The 18816-nt window shown below is 38.5% G+C and overlaps 1 annotated feature.

Annotated features, from left to right (window-relative positions):
• Positions 2535–2711: a silencer, noted in NCBI's record as "fragment chr2:181449937-181450113 (GRCh37/hg19 assembly coordinates)". NCBI's record gives its function as "represses an EF-1alpha promoter that drives an FKBP-Casp9 reporter gene in an ReSE screen in K562 erythroleukemia cells {active_cell/tissue: K562}" and the evidence as "EXISTENCE:reporter gene assay evidence [ECO:0000049][PMID:32094911]".

Here is an 18816-nt window from a genome sequence, read left to right on the forward strand (position 1 = left end):
GCTAATCAGCTGTTGGCCAAGAGTCAGCCTCCTGTGGCTGGACTGCTTTGACCTCCCACTGGGTGCCAGGGGCCATGGAATTATTAGAGCAGTGGTTCCAACATTTCTGGGTCAGCTTCCTAGGGTCATTTTAGACAATCTTCTAGAGGTTCAATAGATAAATATTCACTCCCAGGAGTGAGTTTTCTAAGGGTTCCAGTTAGCTCTAATATAGTGGATACTCTTTCCAATGATATAAGCACCAGATAATTGGAATGAACTTTATAAAGAATAGCTATTAGCTATTAGTTAAGACAGTTTAAAATGCCTTTTCTTTCAGCTTCAATTATGAATTATTATACATGCAATTATTAGTTATGATCACTCATGCCAAACTTCCCTTTCTCATACGAGATGGAACCCTAACCAAAATCTCAGAATCATTGAAATTTAGGACTGAAAGAAAATTTTGAGATTAGCTATTCTAACCTCCTGTTTTACAAATGAAGAACTGTATCTTAGAAAGGCTAAGAAATTAGTTCCCAAGTTAATTTAGAGAATTATAATTACTGACGTGTAACTCCTAATTTCTTATTCAGTACTATTTTTACCATTTTCCTTTTCTGCAGGAGTAAAGACTTGCACTATCACACAGAACGTACAGAAATATTTTACTGTACATTCCCTATGAAAGGAAGATGTTTGAGCTTCAGTTCCAGAGAAGGCACTATTTAGCAATAACTAATACATGTGTGATGCCAAGTAGATGCTAAGCACTGTCCTAAGCACCATGGTTACATGATCTCATTCAGTCTTCTTGACAGCACTCTGAGATCCAATTATTATTCCCATTTTATAGATGAGTGAGCTGAATCACAGCAAGGTTAAGCAATTTGCCTAAGTATACACATCTAATGCTTGGTCAAATCTCAGTTCAAACTCAGGAAATGCAGTTGCAGACTCCATGCTCTTACCCTGCTGCTTTGCTGTCTAAAGACTCATATCTGGAGCTATCAACTAGAATGAGTAAATACATGCAAATGAGGTTGGAAAAAATGTCTGTGTGCCTATAATGCTCAGTTCTAAGGCAAAATTTTGATAACATTTTCTAGTCCATGTTTATAGAAACTAAAAGCTGTAGTTTTCATTACAGCATTCATTATTGAAGACATTTTATTTGTTTCTAAGCCAACCCTTTCAGTGATCTTAATGAGTCCAGCAACCAAGTAGGCAGAGCAGTAAAACCTCCTACTTTGGTGACGATACTTAACAGTCATTTCTAACCAGGAGCAGCAGCAATGGCAGATGAATGTCATTCTCTGCTCTCTGGGGTGCAGCTCTTCAGAACAGGAACAAGTTACATAATCAGGAGGGATTTCCATTTGAAACAGTCTGGGGTGGTTAATCTGGGAAATGCTATTCCTGTTTTCTGGGGATAAATGTTGACATCACAATGAAAAGCGAAAAAAATGTTCTGATAAAAGTGAACTCACTTATTTTGGTACAAGCACGCTGGCTCATATATGTAAGTCCCCAGCATTGTCACAAAATAAGTTTATTGAGCTAGAGGTTAAGAAAAAGTGATTTCCAGAATGAACACTCACCTAGGATATGTCACGTTCATAAGGATGATGTAAATATATTTAAAATATGGGAATGACAGTCTGTCTTCAGAAGATTGTAAGCTCTTTGTTGGTGAGGACTATACATTATGTTTCTTAGCTTTCTGCCTAGTACCCAACACAGTCCTGGGCTTAGGTAGGTGAGAAAGATGTATGGCTGAAGCAATGGGATTGTGGTCAGACTCGTCCATGAGGAAGAATTGTCATGACTCTTCCCTGCTTAAATCTTGGCTATTGCTGCAGAAAGAAGCTTTGACCCTTTGAGATTAGCTCTCAGTTCTTTAGCCAGATGTGAACCTCTCTGAACCACAGTGATCTTGCTTAAAATGTCTATCCCACTGGGTAGTGGTAACAATACATTTAGATACTTATGAAAAATTATTTATAAAATCAAAAGCTACATATGGTTATAAGTTGTTAATAAGTCCTCCCGTAATCTGATAATCAGGATTGAACAAAAATGATTTGATTGATAAAAATATATCCACTTCCTAACCCCATCATGACTTATGCCTCTGACAACCTCCTCTCTGCTTATGGGTGAGGATTAATTATAGTCAAAGTTTCTCTACTCTCCTGTCCCTACCTTCCCTCATTTACTCGATGTTCAAATAGACTACTTATAGCCATATAAGTTATGTATATTTTTAATCAAAACATCACAGAAAAGAAATCCTATTCAAAGCACTATAGGAGTGACCCAGTGTTAGAAATAAGTGTTCATCATCCAACTTCAGTCACTTCTAACTGTAGCAGCACTTAATGCCAATCAATTTTTTTTTTTTTTTTTTTTTTTTTTTTGAGACGGAGTCTCGCTCTGTCGCCCAGGCCGGACTGCGGACTGCAGTGGCGCAATCTCGGCTCACTGCAAGCTCCGCTTCCCGGGTTCACGCCATTCTCCTGCCTCAGCCTCCCGAGTAGCTGGGACTACAGGCGCCCGCCACCGCGCCCGGCTAATTTTTTGTATTTTTAGTAGAGACGGGGTTTCACCTTGTTAGCCAGGATGGTCTCGATCTCCTGGCCTCATGATCCACCCGCCTCGGCCTCCCAAAGTGCTGGGATTACAGGCGTGAGCCACCGCGCCCGGCCGCCAATCAATTTTTAACAGAGGAGCTAAAGAACGATGATAACATAGATGAAAAAAGTCTCTGGGTAGTGAATCATCACCTACAGAAGTACTTGTGAAATTTTCATATTCATGCTGATCACCTTGCTAAAAGGCAGATACTAAATGAGCAGAAATGGGGTTGATTCTGAGTTTCTGCACTTCCCAGGTGACATCAAACACTGCTGGTCTGTGATCTACACTTTGAGTCACCAGAACTTAGACTATGCTCACTGACTTTTTTTTTTTTTATTATAGCTTAAGGTCTAGGATACATGTTCATGATGTGCAGGTTTGTTACATATGTATACATGTGCCACGTTGGTGTGCTGCACCCATTAACTCGTCATTTACATTAGGTATATCTCGTAATGCTATCCCTCCCCCCTTCCCCAACCCCAGGACAGGCCCCAGTGTGTGATGTTCCCCTTCTTGTGTCCAAGTGTTCTCATTGTTCAATTCCCACCTATGAGTGAGAACATGCAGTGTTGGTTTTTTGTCCTTGTGATACTTTACTGAGAATGATGGTTTCCAGCTTCATCCATGTCCCTTCAAAGGACATGAACTCATCCTTTTTTATGGCTGCATAGTATTCCATAGTGTATTATGTGCCACATTTTCTTAATCCAGTCTATCATTGATGGACATTTGGGTTGGTTCCAAGTCTTCGCTATTGTGAATAGTGCTGCAATAAACATACGTGTACATGTGTCTTTATAGCAGCATGATTTATAATCCTTTGGGTATATACCCAGTAATGGGATGGCTGGGTCAAGTGGTGTTTCTAGTTCTAGATCCTTGAGGAATCACCACACTGTCTTCCACAATGGTTGAACCAGTTTACATTCCCACCAACAGTGTAAAAGTGCTCAGATTTCTCCACAACCTCTCCAGCACCTGTTGTTTCCTGACTTTTTAATGATCGCCTTTCTAACTGGTGTGAGATGGTATCTCATTGTGGTTTTGATTTGCATTTCTCTGATGGCCAGTGATGATGAACATTTTTTCATGTGTCTTTTGGCTGCATAAATGTCTTTTTTTAAGAAGTGTCTGTTCATATCCTTTGCCTACTTTTTGATGGGGTTGTTTGATGTTTTTCTTGTAAATTTGTTTGAGTTCATTGTAGATTCTGGATATTAGCCCTTTGTCAGATGAGTAGGTTGCAAAAATTTTCTCCCATTGTGTAGGTTGCCTGTTCACTCTGATGGTAGTTTCTTTTGCTGTGCAGAAGCTCTTTAGTTTAATTAGATCCCATTTGTCAATTTTGGCTTTTGTTGCCATTGCTTTTGGTGTTTTAGACATGAAGTCGTTGCCCATGCCTATGTCCTGAATGGTATTGCCTAGGTTTTCTTCTAGGGTTTTTATGATTTTAAGTCTAACGTTTAAGTCTTTAATCCATCTTGAATTAATTTTTGTATAAGCTGTAAGGAAGGGATCCATTTTCAGCTTTCTACATATGGCTAGCCAGTTTTCCCAGCACCATTTATTAAATAGGGAATCCTTTCCCCATTTCTTGTTTTTGTCAGGTTTGTCAAAGATCAGATGGTTGTAGATGTGTGGTATTATTTCTGAGGGCTCTGTTCTGTTCCATTGGTCTATATCTCTGTTTTGATACTAGTACCATGCTGTTTTGGTTACTGTAGCCTCGTAGTATAGTTTGAAGTCAGGTAGCGTGATGCCTCCAGCTTTGTTCTTTTGGCTTAGGATTGTCTTGGCAATGCAGGCTCTTTTTTGGTTCCATATGAACTTTAAAGTAGTTTTTATTTTTCCAGTTCTGTGAAGAAAGTCATTGGTAGCTTGATGGAGATGGCATTGAATCTATAAATTACCTCGGGCAGTATGGCCATTTTCATGATATTGATTCTTCTTATCCATGAGCATGGAATGTTCTGCCATTTGTTTGTGTCCTCTTTTATTTTGTTGAGCAGCAGTTTGTATTCTCCTTAAATAGGTCCTTCACATCCCTTGTAAGTTGGATTCCTAGGTATTTTATTCTCTTTGTAGCAATTGTGAATGGGAGTTCACTCTTGATTTGGCTCTCTGTTTGTCTGTTATTGGTGTATAGGAATGCTTGTGATTTTTGCACATTGATTTTGTATCCTGAGACTTTGCTGAAATTGCTTATCAGCTTAAGGAGATTTTGGGCTGAGACGATGGGGTTTGCTAAATATACAATCATGTCATCTGCAAACAGGGACAATTTGAGTTCCTCTTTTCCTAATTGAATACTCTTTATTTCTTTCTCCTGCCTGATTGCCCTGGCCAGAACTTCCAACACTATGTTGAATAGGAGTGGTGAGAGAGGGCATCCCTGTCTTGTGCCATTTTTCAAAGGGAATGCATCCAGTTTTTGCCCATTCAGTATGATATTGGCTGTGGGTTTTTCATAAATAGCTCTTATTATTTTGAGATACGTGCCATCAATACCTAGATTATTGAGAGTTTTTAGCATGAAGGGCTGTTGAATTTTGTTGAAGGCCTTTTCTGCATCTATTGAGATAATCATGTGGTTTTTGTCTTTGGTTCTGTTTCTGTGCTGGATTACGTTTATTGGTTTGCGTATGTTGAACCAGCCTTGCATCCCAGGGATGAAGCTCATGTGATCGTGGTGGATAAGCTTTTTGATGTGCTGCTGGATTAGGTTTGCCAGTACTTTATTGAGGATTTTTGCATCAATGTTCATCAGGGATATTGGTCTAAAATTCTCTTTTTTTGTTGTGTCTCTGCCAGGCTTTGGTATCAGGATGATGCTGGCCTCATAAAATGAGTTAGGGAGGATTCCCTCTTTTTCTATTGATTGGAATAGTTTCAAAAGGAATCGTACCAACTCCTCCTTGTACCTCTGGTAAAATTTGGCTGTAAATCCATCTGGTCCTAGACTTTTTTTGGTTGGTATGCTATTAATTATTGCCTCAATTTCAGAGCCTGTTATTGGTCTATTCAGGTATTCAACTTCTTCCTGGTTTAGTCTTGGGAGGGTGTATGTGTCCAGGAATTTATCTATTTCTGCTAGATTTTCTAGTTCATTTGCATAGAGGTATTTATAGTATTCTCTGATGGTAGTTTGTATTTCTGTGGGATCGGTGGTGATATCCCCTTTATCATTTTTTATTGCATCTATTTGATTCTTCTCTCTTTTCTTCTTTATTAGTCTTGCTAGTGGTCTATCAATTTTGTTGGTCTTTTCAAAAAACCAGCTCCTGGATTCCTTGATTTTTTGAAGGGTTTTTTTGTGTCTCTATCTCCTTCAGTTCTGCTCTGATCTTAGTTATTTCTTGCCTTCTGCTACCTTTTGAATGTGTTTGCTCTTGCTTCTCTAGTTCTTTTAGTTGTGATGTTAGGGTGTTAATTTTAGATCTTTCCTGCTTTCTCTGGTGGGCATTTAGTGCTATAAATTTCCCTCTAGACGCTGCTTTGAATGTGTCCCAGAGATTCTGGTATGTTGTGTCTTTGTTCTCATTGGTTGCAAAGAACATCTTTATTTCTGCTTCATTTCATTATGTACCCAGTAGTTATTTAGGAGCAGGTTGTTCAGTTCCCATGTAGTTGAACTTATTCCTGAGTTCTAGTTTGATTGCACTGTGGTTTGCGAGAAAGTTTGTTATAATTTCTGTTTTTTTGCATTTGCTGAGGAGGGCTTTACTTCCAACTATGTGGTCAATTTTGGAATATGTGTGATGTGGTGCTGAGAAGAATGTATATTCTGTTGATTTGGGGTGGAGAGTTCTATAGATGTCTATTAGGTCCACTTGGTGCAGAGCTGAGTTCAATTCCTGGATATCCTTTTTAACTTTCTGTCTTGTTAATCCGTCTAATGTTGACAGTGGGGTGTTAAATTCTCCCATTATTATTATGTAGGAGTCTAAGTCTCTTTGTAGGTCTTTAAGGACTTGCTTTATGAATCTGGGTGCTGCTGTATTGGATGCATATATATTTAGGATAGTTAGCTCTTCTTGTTGAATTGATTCCTTTACCATTATGTAATGGCCTTGTCTCTTTTGATCTTTGTTGGTTTAAAGACTGTTTTATCAGAGACTAGGATTGCAACCCCTGCCTTTTTTTGTTTTCCATTTGCTTGGTAGATCTTCCTCCATCCCTTTATTTTGAGCCTATGTGTGTCTCTGCACGTGAGATGTGTCTCCTGAATACAGCCCACTGATGGGTCTTGACTCTTTATCCAATTTGCCAGTCTGTGTCTTTTCAATGGAGCATTTAGCCCATTTACATTTAAGGTTAATATTGTTACGTGTGAATTTGATCCTGTCATTATGATGTTAGCTGGTTATTTTGCTCATTAGTTGATGCAGTTTCTTCCTAGCATCGATGGTCTTTACAATTTGGCATGTTTTTGCAGTGGCTGGTACCAGTTGTTCCTTTCCATGTTTAGTGCTTCCTTCAGGAGCTCTTGTAAGGCAGGCCTGGTGGTGAAAAAATCTCTCATCATTTGCTTGTCTGTAAAGGATTTTATTTCTCCCTCACTTATGAGGCTTAGTTTGGCTGGATATGAAATTCTGGGTTGAAAATTGTTTTCTTTAAGAATGCCAAATATTAGCCGCCACTCTCTTCTGGCTTGTAGAGTTTCTGCCGAGAGATCTGCTGTTAGTCTGATGGGCTTCCCTTGTGGGTAACCCGACCTTCCTCTCTGGCTGCCCTTCACAATTTTTCCTTCATTTCAACTTTGGTGAATCTGACAATTATGTACCTTGGAGTTGCACTTCTCAAGGAGTATCTTTGTGGCGTTCTCTGTATTTCCTGAATTTGAATGTTGGGCTGCCTTTCTAGGTTGGGGAAGTTCTCCTGGATAATATCCTGCAGAGTGTTTGCCAATTTGGTTCCATTCTCCCCGTCACTTTCAGGTACACCAATCAGACATAGATTTGGTCTTTTCACATAGCCCCATATTTCCTGGAGGCTTTGTTCATTTCTTTTTACTCTTTTTTCTCTAAACTTCTCTTCTTGCTTCATTTCATTCATTCGATCTTCAATCACTGATACCCTTTTTTCCACTTGATCGAATTGGCTACTGAAGTTTGTGCATTTGTCACATAGTTCTGGTGCGATGGTTTTCAGCTCCATCAGGTCATTTAAGGTCATTCTCTACACTGTTTGTTCTAGTCAGCCATTTGTCTAATCTTTTTTCAAGGTTTTTAGCTTCTTTGCAATGGGTTTGAACTTCCTCCTTTAGCTTGGAGAAGTTTGAACGTCTGAAGCCTTCTTCTCTCAACTTGTCAAAGTCATTCTCCGTCTAGCTTTGTTCCATTGCTGGCGAGGAGCTGCATTCCTTTGGAGGGGGAGAGGCACTCTGATTTTTAGAATTTTCAGTTTTTCTGCTCTTTTTTTTTCTCCATCTTTGTGGTTTTATCTACCTTTGGTCTTTGATGATGGTGATGTACCAGTGGGGTTTTGGTGTGGATGTCCTTTCTGTTTGTTAGTTTTCCTTCTAAAAGTCAGGACCCTCAGCTGCAGGTCTCTTGGAGTTTGCTGGAGGTCCACTCCAGACCCTGTTTGCTTGGGTATCAGCAGCAGAGGCTGCAGAACAGCGAGTATTGCTGAACAGCAAATGTTGCTGCCTGATTCTTCCTTTGGAAGCTTTGTCTCAGAGGGGTACCCGGATGTGTAAGGTGTCAGTCTGCCCCTGCTGGGGGGTGCCTCCCAGTTAGGCTACTCGGGGGTCAGGGACCCACTTGAGGAGGCAGTCTGTCCGTTCTCAGATCTCAAACTCCGTGCTGGGAGAACCAGTACTCTCTTCAAAGGTGTCAGCCAGGGAAATTTAAGTCTGCAGAGGTTTCTGCTGCCTTTTGTTCAGCTATGCCCCGCCCCCAGAGGTGAAGTCTACAGAGGCAGGCAGGCCTCCTTGAGCTGCGGTGGGCTCCACCCAGTTTGAGCTTCCTGTCTGCTTTGTTTACCTACTCAAGCCTCAGCAATGGTGGGCGCCCCTCCCCCAGCCTTGCTGCCACCTTGCAGTTCTATCTCAGACTGCTGTGCTAGCAATGAGTGAGGCTCCATGGGCATGGGACACTCCCAGCCAGGTGCAGGGTATAATCTGCTGGTGTGCCGTTTGCTAAGACCGTTGGAAAAGCTCAGTATTAGGGTGGGAGTGACCCATTTTTCTAGGTGCCGTCTGTCACTGCTTTCCTTGGCTACAAAAGGGAATTCCCTGACCCCATGTGCTTCCTCACCCTGCTTCAGCTCACATTTGCTGGGCTGCACCCACTGTCTGACAAGCCCCAGTGAGATAAACCCGGTACCTCAGTTGGAAATGCAGAAATCACCCGTCTTCTGCGTCGCTCACACTGGGAGCTGTAGACTGGAGCTGTTCCTATTCATCCATCTTGGACTCTGATCACTAACATTTTTAAGTACAAGAACATACTTAAATTTTTAATTATTGACTTTATTCTGATTATAAATTTTAAAAATATGTGGAAGTAAAAAATCCTATTCTTACCACCCAAAGACAACCACAACTAAGTTGGGGTATATAATATATACATAAGTACCAAATCAAAATTGGGGTTCCTGTATCTACATTGTTTTAAAGTTGCCTTTCCACTAACTTTAAAATTACTGAAGAAATACATATTAATTTTAGAACATTCATAAAATAAAAATAAGGAAACAGAAGATAAAAACCACTTGTAGTCTTATCACTTAAACACAAAATACAAACAACATTAACATGTTAATCTATTCTCTCCCATATCCCTACACATCAACTCCAACTCCATGGCCACTGTGTATGTGTACCAACATCATGATGACATCATGATGATAAGATTGACGGAAAGGCACAGATTCAGTCAGGTAAAGTTGCTTGAAATAAAGGCTATAAAAATGTTAGTTTACAATTATGGAAATGTATGCTGTCTCTCTCTCTATATATAATTGCAAATGGACAAAAAATGGACAAAGTAAAAATCAATTACATGTATAATATTCAGGAATTAAAATGATATCCCAAACTTAGAAAAAAAGTTAGATTGTTAATAGCAGATAATGGAGGCATGAAGGATTTTTGCAAAGTCCTCAATGTGCCCCATGGATGTAGAGCCATGACTGATGCCAGACAAAGAATGAGGACCCCTCCAGGCATGGTTAGTCAATAGTACTGACTGTATATAATCATTGCATATTAAGGCCGTATACTTTATAGCTTCTCTTTTGAAAACAGTCTGGCATTTTATTACTAACATAATTTTTCACCAAAAAATACTCTCTTATGAGATAATTTTTAAATGTTACCCTGAATTTCATTCTATACTTTCAACAAAACTTACCATTTTCCTATTTCTAGACCTTTTAATTATTTCTATTTTCCAAATTTATAAATAATGCTGTGATATACATTCCTATATTTATTATAATAAATCCTTGTCTAATATTCTTAATCTGGAGAACCTTTCAAAGGGTGTGTATTTTATATGTAATACAGCCTTATAGTTTAAAAAAAGTCACAAAACAACCTTCTTCTGAAACCATTACCAAGATATAGCTATTGTTAATATTTTATAAGTATCTTTATAAATATTTGTATGTGAATGTATATATCCATATATAAATTTATAGTAGGGTTTAGGGGGGATTTTCTGCAAGAAGAACTATACTTACTATACTTTGATTTGTTATTTATTTACCTGAATCATTTTAATGAGTTCATAGTAGCATGGGATTACATGAGTTTTCATAGATAATCATTATTTTCCAATAGCCCACTGAAAAACATTTGTTTTTGCCCTTCTCCTGCAAGTAAAATTGCTAGGCCAGAGGGTGTATTCATTTTCCTTTTTATTTTGACAGATAATAGTCTGCAAAAAGGTTTTACTGATTTATACCTCCTTTCTACAATGGTAAAGAGGTTCCATATCCCCACACCCTTGTCTACAATGGGTAGTGTGTTTCTTTATAATATAAAATTTTAAATATTTAGCAGTTTCAGTTTCTTAGAGCTTTAAATTTTCATTAGAGCTCAACTCTAGCCAAAATTTCATGAGCAACAATAAGCAGTGTTTTATTTATTTTCTAGCTATGTCTCTTTTTTTTTTTTTTTTTGCTTTTTCTTTGATGTAATAGTCACTTACAAGTATGTTCCTACGTGTTCATGTGTCAAATAACATTCGGGAGGATGGACTGTAACCCCAAAACGGTGGGATAGGAATTTGTGATGATTCTTGAAATCCTCTGTCTCCCTATTCCGAATAAATTATCTAAAAATTTTTTGTATGCTTGCTTTGTCTTAGACTGAATAAGTAAAAACTTTCAATTTTGTGGTATTTCTATGTATCTTTGTGGTTTCTGAAGTTTTGCCTTAAAAATAGCTGAAGCTATATTATCTAATATATATTAACATGATAATTTACATAAAACTATGTTACAGATTATACTCTTTATGATTTTATTGTTATACTTTTTGGCATCATTTAACTTTTTTGCTTTTTCTCTTAATGCAACCTGGCTTAATGTTAATGTAGGCTGTCAGTGTTGTGTTTTGTGTGTTTGTTTTGGTGTTGGTTAGTATTTGCCAGGCATGTCTTTGCCATATTTTTACTTTCAAATTTTGCTTAATGATTCTCTATAATAATGTTAAATATTAGTTTTTATCAATTTAAGAATCATTTTATTTTACCAGAAGAGTTTTTGTTTTGTTTTGTTTCTGTTTTTTTTTTTTTTTTTTTTTTAACATCCTAAGCCTCAGATGGTGCTATAGGTAGTTCCCCTGGATTCATCCATTTTTTGCTCTGGATTTTGTTAAAATAGCATACTACAGTTTACCATATCTAGTGACACTGAAGTTTCTCCTGAGATGGAAGCATTCACTAGTTTTCAGGCTATTTTTCCAAATCAGGGTAAATTAATGGTTACATGGTAGAGTGAATGCTTCTGAGATGTTTTCCTGACTTCAGACCTTATATATTTTCCAAAGAACTGTAGTTATAAATCAATGCCAAGATAATGAATCAGGTCATAATTTTATGGAAAAATAAATAAGAACAACTTACTGAAAAGGATATCCTGTGAACTCTTTGGGTTGATTGTTAATATCTTCTGGCCTGCCAGAAAGGTCAGTATGGGTTTCCCCTTTATCCTTTCCCAGAAGTTCATGGTAATTGTGAAAATTAGCGACAGGTATGGCAATAAGACATTCTCTTGCTAATTCTAATTATTTTAAATGGAGGTGAAACAGCCACATCTTTGCAGTTTTCCAATTGAATCAATGTCAATCAATAAGCTAGAGGCCAAGAGGGTAAATTTTCTTGACTGCTAATAGCTGAATAACCCTCTATTTCCTCATATGAAATGATTATCTTTGATCCTTCTTACTGCCAAGTTGCTCTAAATTGGAAATAGAGATGTGAGCTGATGGATAAAAATGTTGATGTAAAAATCAAATTCTCACAAATCACAAAAAACAGACCTGCACACCCCCACATCCACACTTACATACTGAATCCTGTATGAAGGTCAGTTAGAGCCTTTCTATATCACCAGAAGTTTATATGCAACATTTGAGTTCCTGTGAGCACCAGAGGAATACATTTGGGTAGAACAAGAAAATCCTTGAACTAGGACTTTGATGACCCAAGTTCTAATTGCATTTTTTCCATTAGTACATCACTATTAAAATATCACTTAAACATTATCAGAAAAATGTGAATGACAGGTCTATGAGGTTCATAAAGTTGTTAATACCATATAGAAAAATTTGAGGAATTTTTCCAGAGAACACAGACAGCAGTCTAACCAATATGCTTCCAGGTCTCGAAGGCTGCCATCACAGTGTTGTGTGGTGCTGCAGTCTCGTGTGAGGTTAGACTTGGGGAGTATCTATTGCCACGGTAATGTGGTTACTGGCAGCATTCAATGCCTTGTGAATTGTCATACTGATGGCCTCAGTATCTTTTTTTTGTTTGTTTTTTTTTTTTGAGACAGGGTCTCTCTGTGTCATCCAGGCTGGAGTGCAGTGGCACAATCATACCTCACTACAACCTCAAGCTGAGCTTAAGCGGTCCTCCCACCATAGTCTCCCAAGTAGCTGGGACCACAGGCATGTACTACCACACCCGGCTAATTTTTAAATTTTTTGTAAAGATGGGGTCTGGCTATGTTGCTCAGGTTGATCTCAAACTCCTGGGCTCAAACAATCCTCGCACCTCGGCCTCGCAAAGAGCTGGGACTAGAGAGATGAGTCACCATGCCTGGCCAGCCTCATTTTCTTATTGGCTGTAGGTCATAGGCTGCCATCAGTTCTTTGCCAGGTGAGCTTTCCCTGCATGGCCATTTCCTTTCTCAAAGCCAGCAAGAGAGAGAATTTTCTCAGAAAGACAGGTGCAAAATCTTATGTAATGTAATTCTGTACTTGTAATAATACATATCTCATTACCTCTATTACAAACAAGTCTTAGGTCACGTCTACACACAAAGGAAGAGAATCACATGAGGATGGGAATAATGGGAAACAGGGATCATGAGAACCATCTTAGAATCTATTTGCCACAATAGGAAAGGAGCCAATACAAGAAAGCTAATAAGCAGGTTACTACTGTGAGCATCAATTCTGCTGAGATCTTTTGGGAAATAGTGCTGAACTGATATGGTTTGGCTATGCCCGCACCCAAATCTCATCTTGAACATCTTGAATTATAGTCCCCATAATCCCCACGTGTCATGGGAGGGACCTTATGGGAAGTTATTAGATTATAGGGGTGGTTCCCCCATGCTGTTCTTGTGATAGTGAGAGAGTTCTCACGAGATCTGATGGTTTTATCAGGAACTTTTCCCCCTTCTCTCTGAACTTCTGTCTCCCACTGCCATGTGAAGAAGGACATGTTTGCTTCCCCTTCTGCCATAATTGTAAGGCCTCTCCAGCCATGCAGAACTGTGAGTCAATTAAACCTCTTTCCTTTATAAATTACCCAGTCTCTGGCAGTTCTTTACAGCAGCATAAGAACGAACTAATACACAAACATATCTCAGAATTGTCCCATTCCAGAAGCAAGAGAATTAGAGTATTGTATCAGTCTGAGATCTCAAGAGAAACAGAAAAGTGTGTGTGCTTGTGTGTGTGTGTTTGCACACACGCACACACACTCACACAGAGATGAATTTATTAAGAAACTGGCTCATGTAATTGTGGAGACTGGCAACTACACAATCTGCAGGACAAGCGGAAAGGCTGGAAACTTAGGCAGAAGTTGGTACTGCGGTTTCGAGGTAGAATTTATTCTCTGAGAAATTCCATCTTTTGCTCTTATGGCCTTCAACTGATGGAATGAGGCCCACCATATTATTGAAGGTATTACTTTTTACTTAAAGTTAACTACATCTGCAAAATACCTTAACAGCAACACCTAGATTAGTGTTTGATTAAGTAGCTGGCACTGTAGCCTAGCCAAGCTAATACCTAAAATTTAGTTTCCTAGAGCTGCCATACTAAATTATGACAAACTAGGTGGCTTTAAACAAGAGAGATTTATTCTCTCACACTTCTGGAGCCTAAAAGTCTGAAACCAAGGTGTTGGCAGGGCCACATTCTCTCCAAAGTCTCTAGAGGAGGATTCTTCCTTGCTGCTCCCAGCTTCTGGTAGCCCCAGGCATAGCATCATGCTACCGCATAACTCAAATCTCTATCTCTGTCTTCACATGGCTGGCTTCTCCCATGTCTGTCCATATACAAAATTTCCTCTTTTTATAAAAACATGAGTCATGTTGGATTAAAATCTATCCTAATATAGTATGGCTTTATTGTAAAATGATTACATCTATAAAGTCTCTATTTCCAATAAAGTCACATTAATGGGGACCAGGGGTCAGGACTTCAGCATATCTTTTTGAGGGATGCAATTCAACTCATAACACTGACTTTTATAGGTATTTGTACACCATCTGTTTCTGCATTGGTTGAGGGTTACTCCCAAGACTATTAACACTCTAGCAATTCAGTCTGCTTGGTGAGTGGGCCAAGAACACCGAGGCCAGAAAAAAAATAAAAATAAAACCCTCAGGCAGAGTTTGCTATGAAAAGCCCTTAGCATATATAAGATCAGGGAGTACTGAAGGAATATGGTGATGTGGGTGAGGTGTGGACACTGTTCCCTGCACATGGAAAATACCAACCAGGAGGCCTCAAAAGATGATATTTACCTAAGAATTCACACCGTGTCTATAGTGTATTCATCATTCTCATAGATCCTAAAGCAGGGTATCAGGTGCCTTACATAAATACTTCTGAAACCTAAATATCTAGGGAGTAGAAAATCTACTATTTTATAACTATTTTTTGAAGTAATAGCAGAATTCAACCTTCTTTAAAATTATTTTTTAATTTTTGGTGAATACTTTATCACCTCTTTGGCTATGCAAAGGTTAAACCAAATGCCATACCATAATGGTGACATATGAGACAAACTTTCTTATTGTGATCAGAATTGTACCTCAGAAGAGCTTGTTTTGATTTTGCCTGTAAACCAGACCTTACACTAGCTGTAGAGAAAGAGTGTTTTGATTCTATCATTGGATGATGCAAGAAAATTGACTGTGAGGTGCAGACTATAGGTAAGAAGGTTCTAGTGTCCCTGTTATAGAATTTATATGTTTATAGATGCCCAGGTCCCTGCATTTTCACAGCAAGTGAGGGCTCATAATGTTACAGGTCCTATGGTGGGGCCTACTCTGAAGATTGAGGGAACCACAATACCTATATTAGTTTGCCAGGCCTGCTGTAACCAAGTACCACAAACTGAGTGGCTTAGACAAGAGAACTTATTGTCATACAGTTCTGGAGGCCAGAAATCCAAGATCAACGTATCAGCAGGGTATGCCCCCTATTAAGGCACTAGAAAAAGGTATGTTCCAGAACTCTCTCCTAACTTTTAATAATTCACCTTGGTTGTGGCTGCCTAACTCCAGTCTTCACATGGCATTCTCCTGGTGCATGTGTCTCTGTGTTCAAATTTCCCATTTTTTGTAAGGAAAACAGTCATATTGGATTAGGAGTCCACCCTACTCCAGTATGATTTCATCTGAATTAATTACACCTGCAACAATCCGATTTTCAAATACGGTCACATTCTGAGGTCCTGGGAGTTAGGATTTCAACATATGAATTGGGAGACACACTGTTCAACCCATTACAATACCTTTGTCCAATTTTAAAAATTTTTCTTCTTTTTCTTTTTCTTTTTTTTTTGGTCATTATTCTTTTCTATAACTCCATATCTTTGGTGAAATAAACTGGGTTTGTTCTCAAGCCTGTGCCAGACCTGTGGTGATGCTATACAGGAAAACCTCCAGAGAAACTTGGTAATGCTGATTAGGAAGCAGAAAAAAAAAGCAATTGGAAAAAAAACAATCTGCTGCTGGTAGGGAAGAAAGAAGATGGTTGACAGAGATGCTAAAACCAGCACAGGTTTTCAGGATCTGTAATCACTCCTAAAAAACCCAGAAAGACCCAGAGGGAGAAGAGACAGGATCCCCTACTAATCAAGCGGGATGGAGACTGGGACATTATGTCCATTTGGAAACTAAGAAATATTTGGGGATATGTGGTTTTAAACCTCATCTTGCCAACACCATCCATCACGTTGGCACAGACTCACGTTAATAAAGCTCAATGAAATGGGTATATTTCAACCACAATCTCAACTAGTTATTTAGAATGATAAATACAATTATGAGGTAGATTAGAATACTTGAAATAGCCATTTGATACATAATTCCCTGAGGCCCATTTCTTGTAGGAAGTCCTTTTTTTACTTCCATTAAAAAAAATACAACCATAGGCAGATTGGACATTGATGCCAGTCTTCTTTCCAATGCATTTTCTTCTCATGGGCCGAAGGATGCCTGCTAAGTGCAGGTCAGAATAAGGCAAGTGAGAATTATCTGACTGGAACACTCAGGTATGTCGAGCTCTGGAGGCTGCTCTGCCCATCTCCATAGAGGATATACCCTTTGCCACCCTCCCAAACTTAGAATTGGAAAGAGTACAAAAATATTTGGTCTTCTCATTTCTAGTTTTCTGGCTGATTTGTATCCTTTGTACACATACATCCTTCTCCAAAAAAAAAAAAGAAAAAAAAAGAACATCAACTCTTGTGTTTAGATCTCAAGATACTTAGGCGTCTTCATATTCCATTTCTGTACTTCCGAGTTTCCAATGTTCCCAAGCCCTTCGGACACAGAGTCATATGCATTTCCCCTGTGAACTTTCCCTGATGACTGACCACAGCCATAATGTGTGGATTTTGCTACTTTATCTATCAGATATCATTATGTTTCTTATCTCCAAGTTCTGTGGAAGGGAGTCCTCCTTCTGACTTCCAAATTCTAACAAAATACTGGACATTGGAATGCCCCCACTTATCTGGCATATGTCCAGATTTTGTGTAAAATATCTTATGTGATATTATATTATTGTGAAAAATGATCTCGGGATCTAATCAAACCATCTATCTCATTGTATAAATAATTACTTGGAAAAGGATTGTGTGAGATGCTCAAATACATAGAGGTGGTAGATGGCATTGCTGAAGCAGAGCCTGGCCTTTCGGACTCTCATTTTGACATCTCCCTCTGCTCCAGGCTGCCTTTGGCTACTGGTTCCTCCACATTTCAATTGCTTCTGCCGCATGCGGGAGAGGGCTCACTGATAATGATCTGTCCTTTCCCTTATCCTTTTTCCCTCTCACACAGGGGAGAATGTTACAGGACCAAATCACTGAAATGTAAAAACATTTGGAGGGTTTAGCTTGTTTTATTTTTATTTTTTCTCATTTCTTGTCAGGGAAAGAACACACCACTTTGTCATCAAGACAAAGTAGATTCTTTAAGAGGATTGTTTTCAACAAGGCTGCTCTGTGGTGAATATTGGCCATGACCTGATAGAAAATGAATTGAGCCGTTCAAACATGTTAGTAGCCTAATACTGAAAATTTATTTTCCCATTCTAATGAAAGATGATGGCTTCTTCAATCATAAACTTGGTCTAGTTTTATTTAAATATTGCAAGTGTCATCAGCATAGGATCTATTGTGCTGGGCTTCTAAAGAGAGAAGCAAACAGTCATTTTCTGAGCTTGATTGGGCCTGATGTGTTATGATATGTAGGATAATTTATTCTTGCTTTAAGTCCAATTAAGGTGAAACACTTCTCAGACAGCAGAGGTTTTGATGGGCTAACCGAGGCTTATGTGGATTACAAAGATGTCCTCTGGAAGGAAAATTTACTTTGAGACAGTCCATTCCACTTTTTGAGATGGAAAAACAATTTTTCTTAGAAATGTAGTGTTACTGATAAATACCAGAAGTCAGTTCCTATCTCTGAGTTAATCACAGCAACTACAAGACTGAATGCTCACCCATCTTTTACTGTTCCACAGGCATAAAATGGGAGAGCAGAATGCAGTTCAGCAGAAAACAGGAGAGTGCAGGTGCTGAGGCCACATCAGCTGAGTGAGAATTCCACCTCCTTCCTCTCCTAGGTGTGTGACCTTCACAATGTGCTTGGCCTCTCTGTACCTCAGTTTCCTCATCTGGAAAATAGAAATAATGATATATAGTGTCTATTTTCAGAGCTGGAGTGAGAACTGAATATGTTAATATATGTAATGTAGGAAGAGTACCTGCTGCTGATAAACTAAATATTAGCTAATATAATACTTGTTATCATATGCCACGTTTTTAGCCAATTATATTTAATTTAGAGCACAAAGTCTGATATCTTTGAGGATGTCCAGATGTGATTCATGTATCTATCTTTAATATTATTGAAGTAACATTAAATTGACTTCAGATTTTTATCTAAGTCAAATAGTCAAATATTGATTTATATTTGCTTAATAGACAGAAAATAAATCTCAGAGTCAAATAGTTCAGGAGTTAAATCACAGCTCTTCCATTTTAACATTTCAGTAAACAAATAATTATCTTAATTGTGTCTTACATTCCTAGCTACAGAATGGAACAATAATACTTATCCATAGCTAATATGTATTGAGCACTACTACATATCAGGCACTGATTTAAGCCCTTTGGATGTCATAATTTATTTAATCTTCAAAAACACTCTGTGAAAGAATAAGTCCATTGCTCAAGCTGTTACAGTTAATAAATAGCT

Source organism: Homo sapiens, chromosome 2 (genome assembly GCF_000001405.40).
Source record: "Homo sapiens chromosome 2, GRCh38.p14 Primary Assembly".
Classification (NCBI taxonomy): domain Eukaryota; kingdom Metazoa; phylum Chordata; class Mammalia; order Primates; family Hominidae; genus Homo; species Homo sapiens.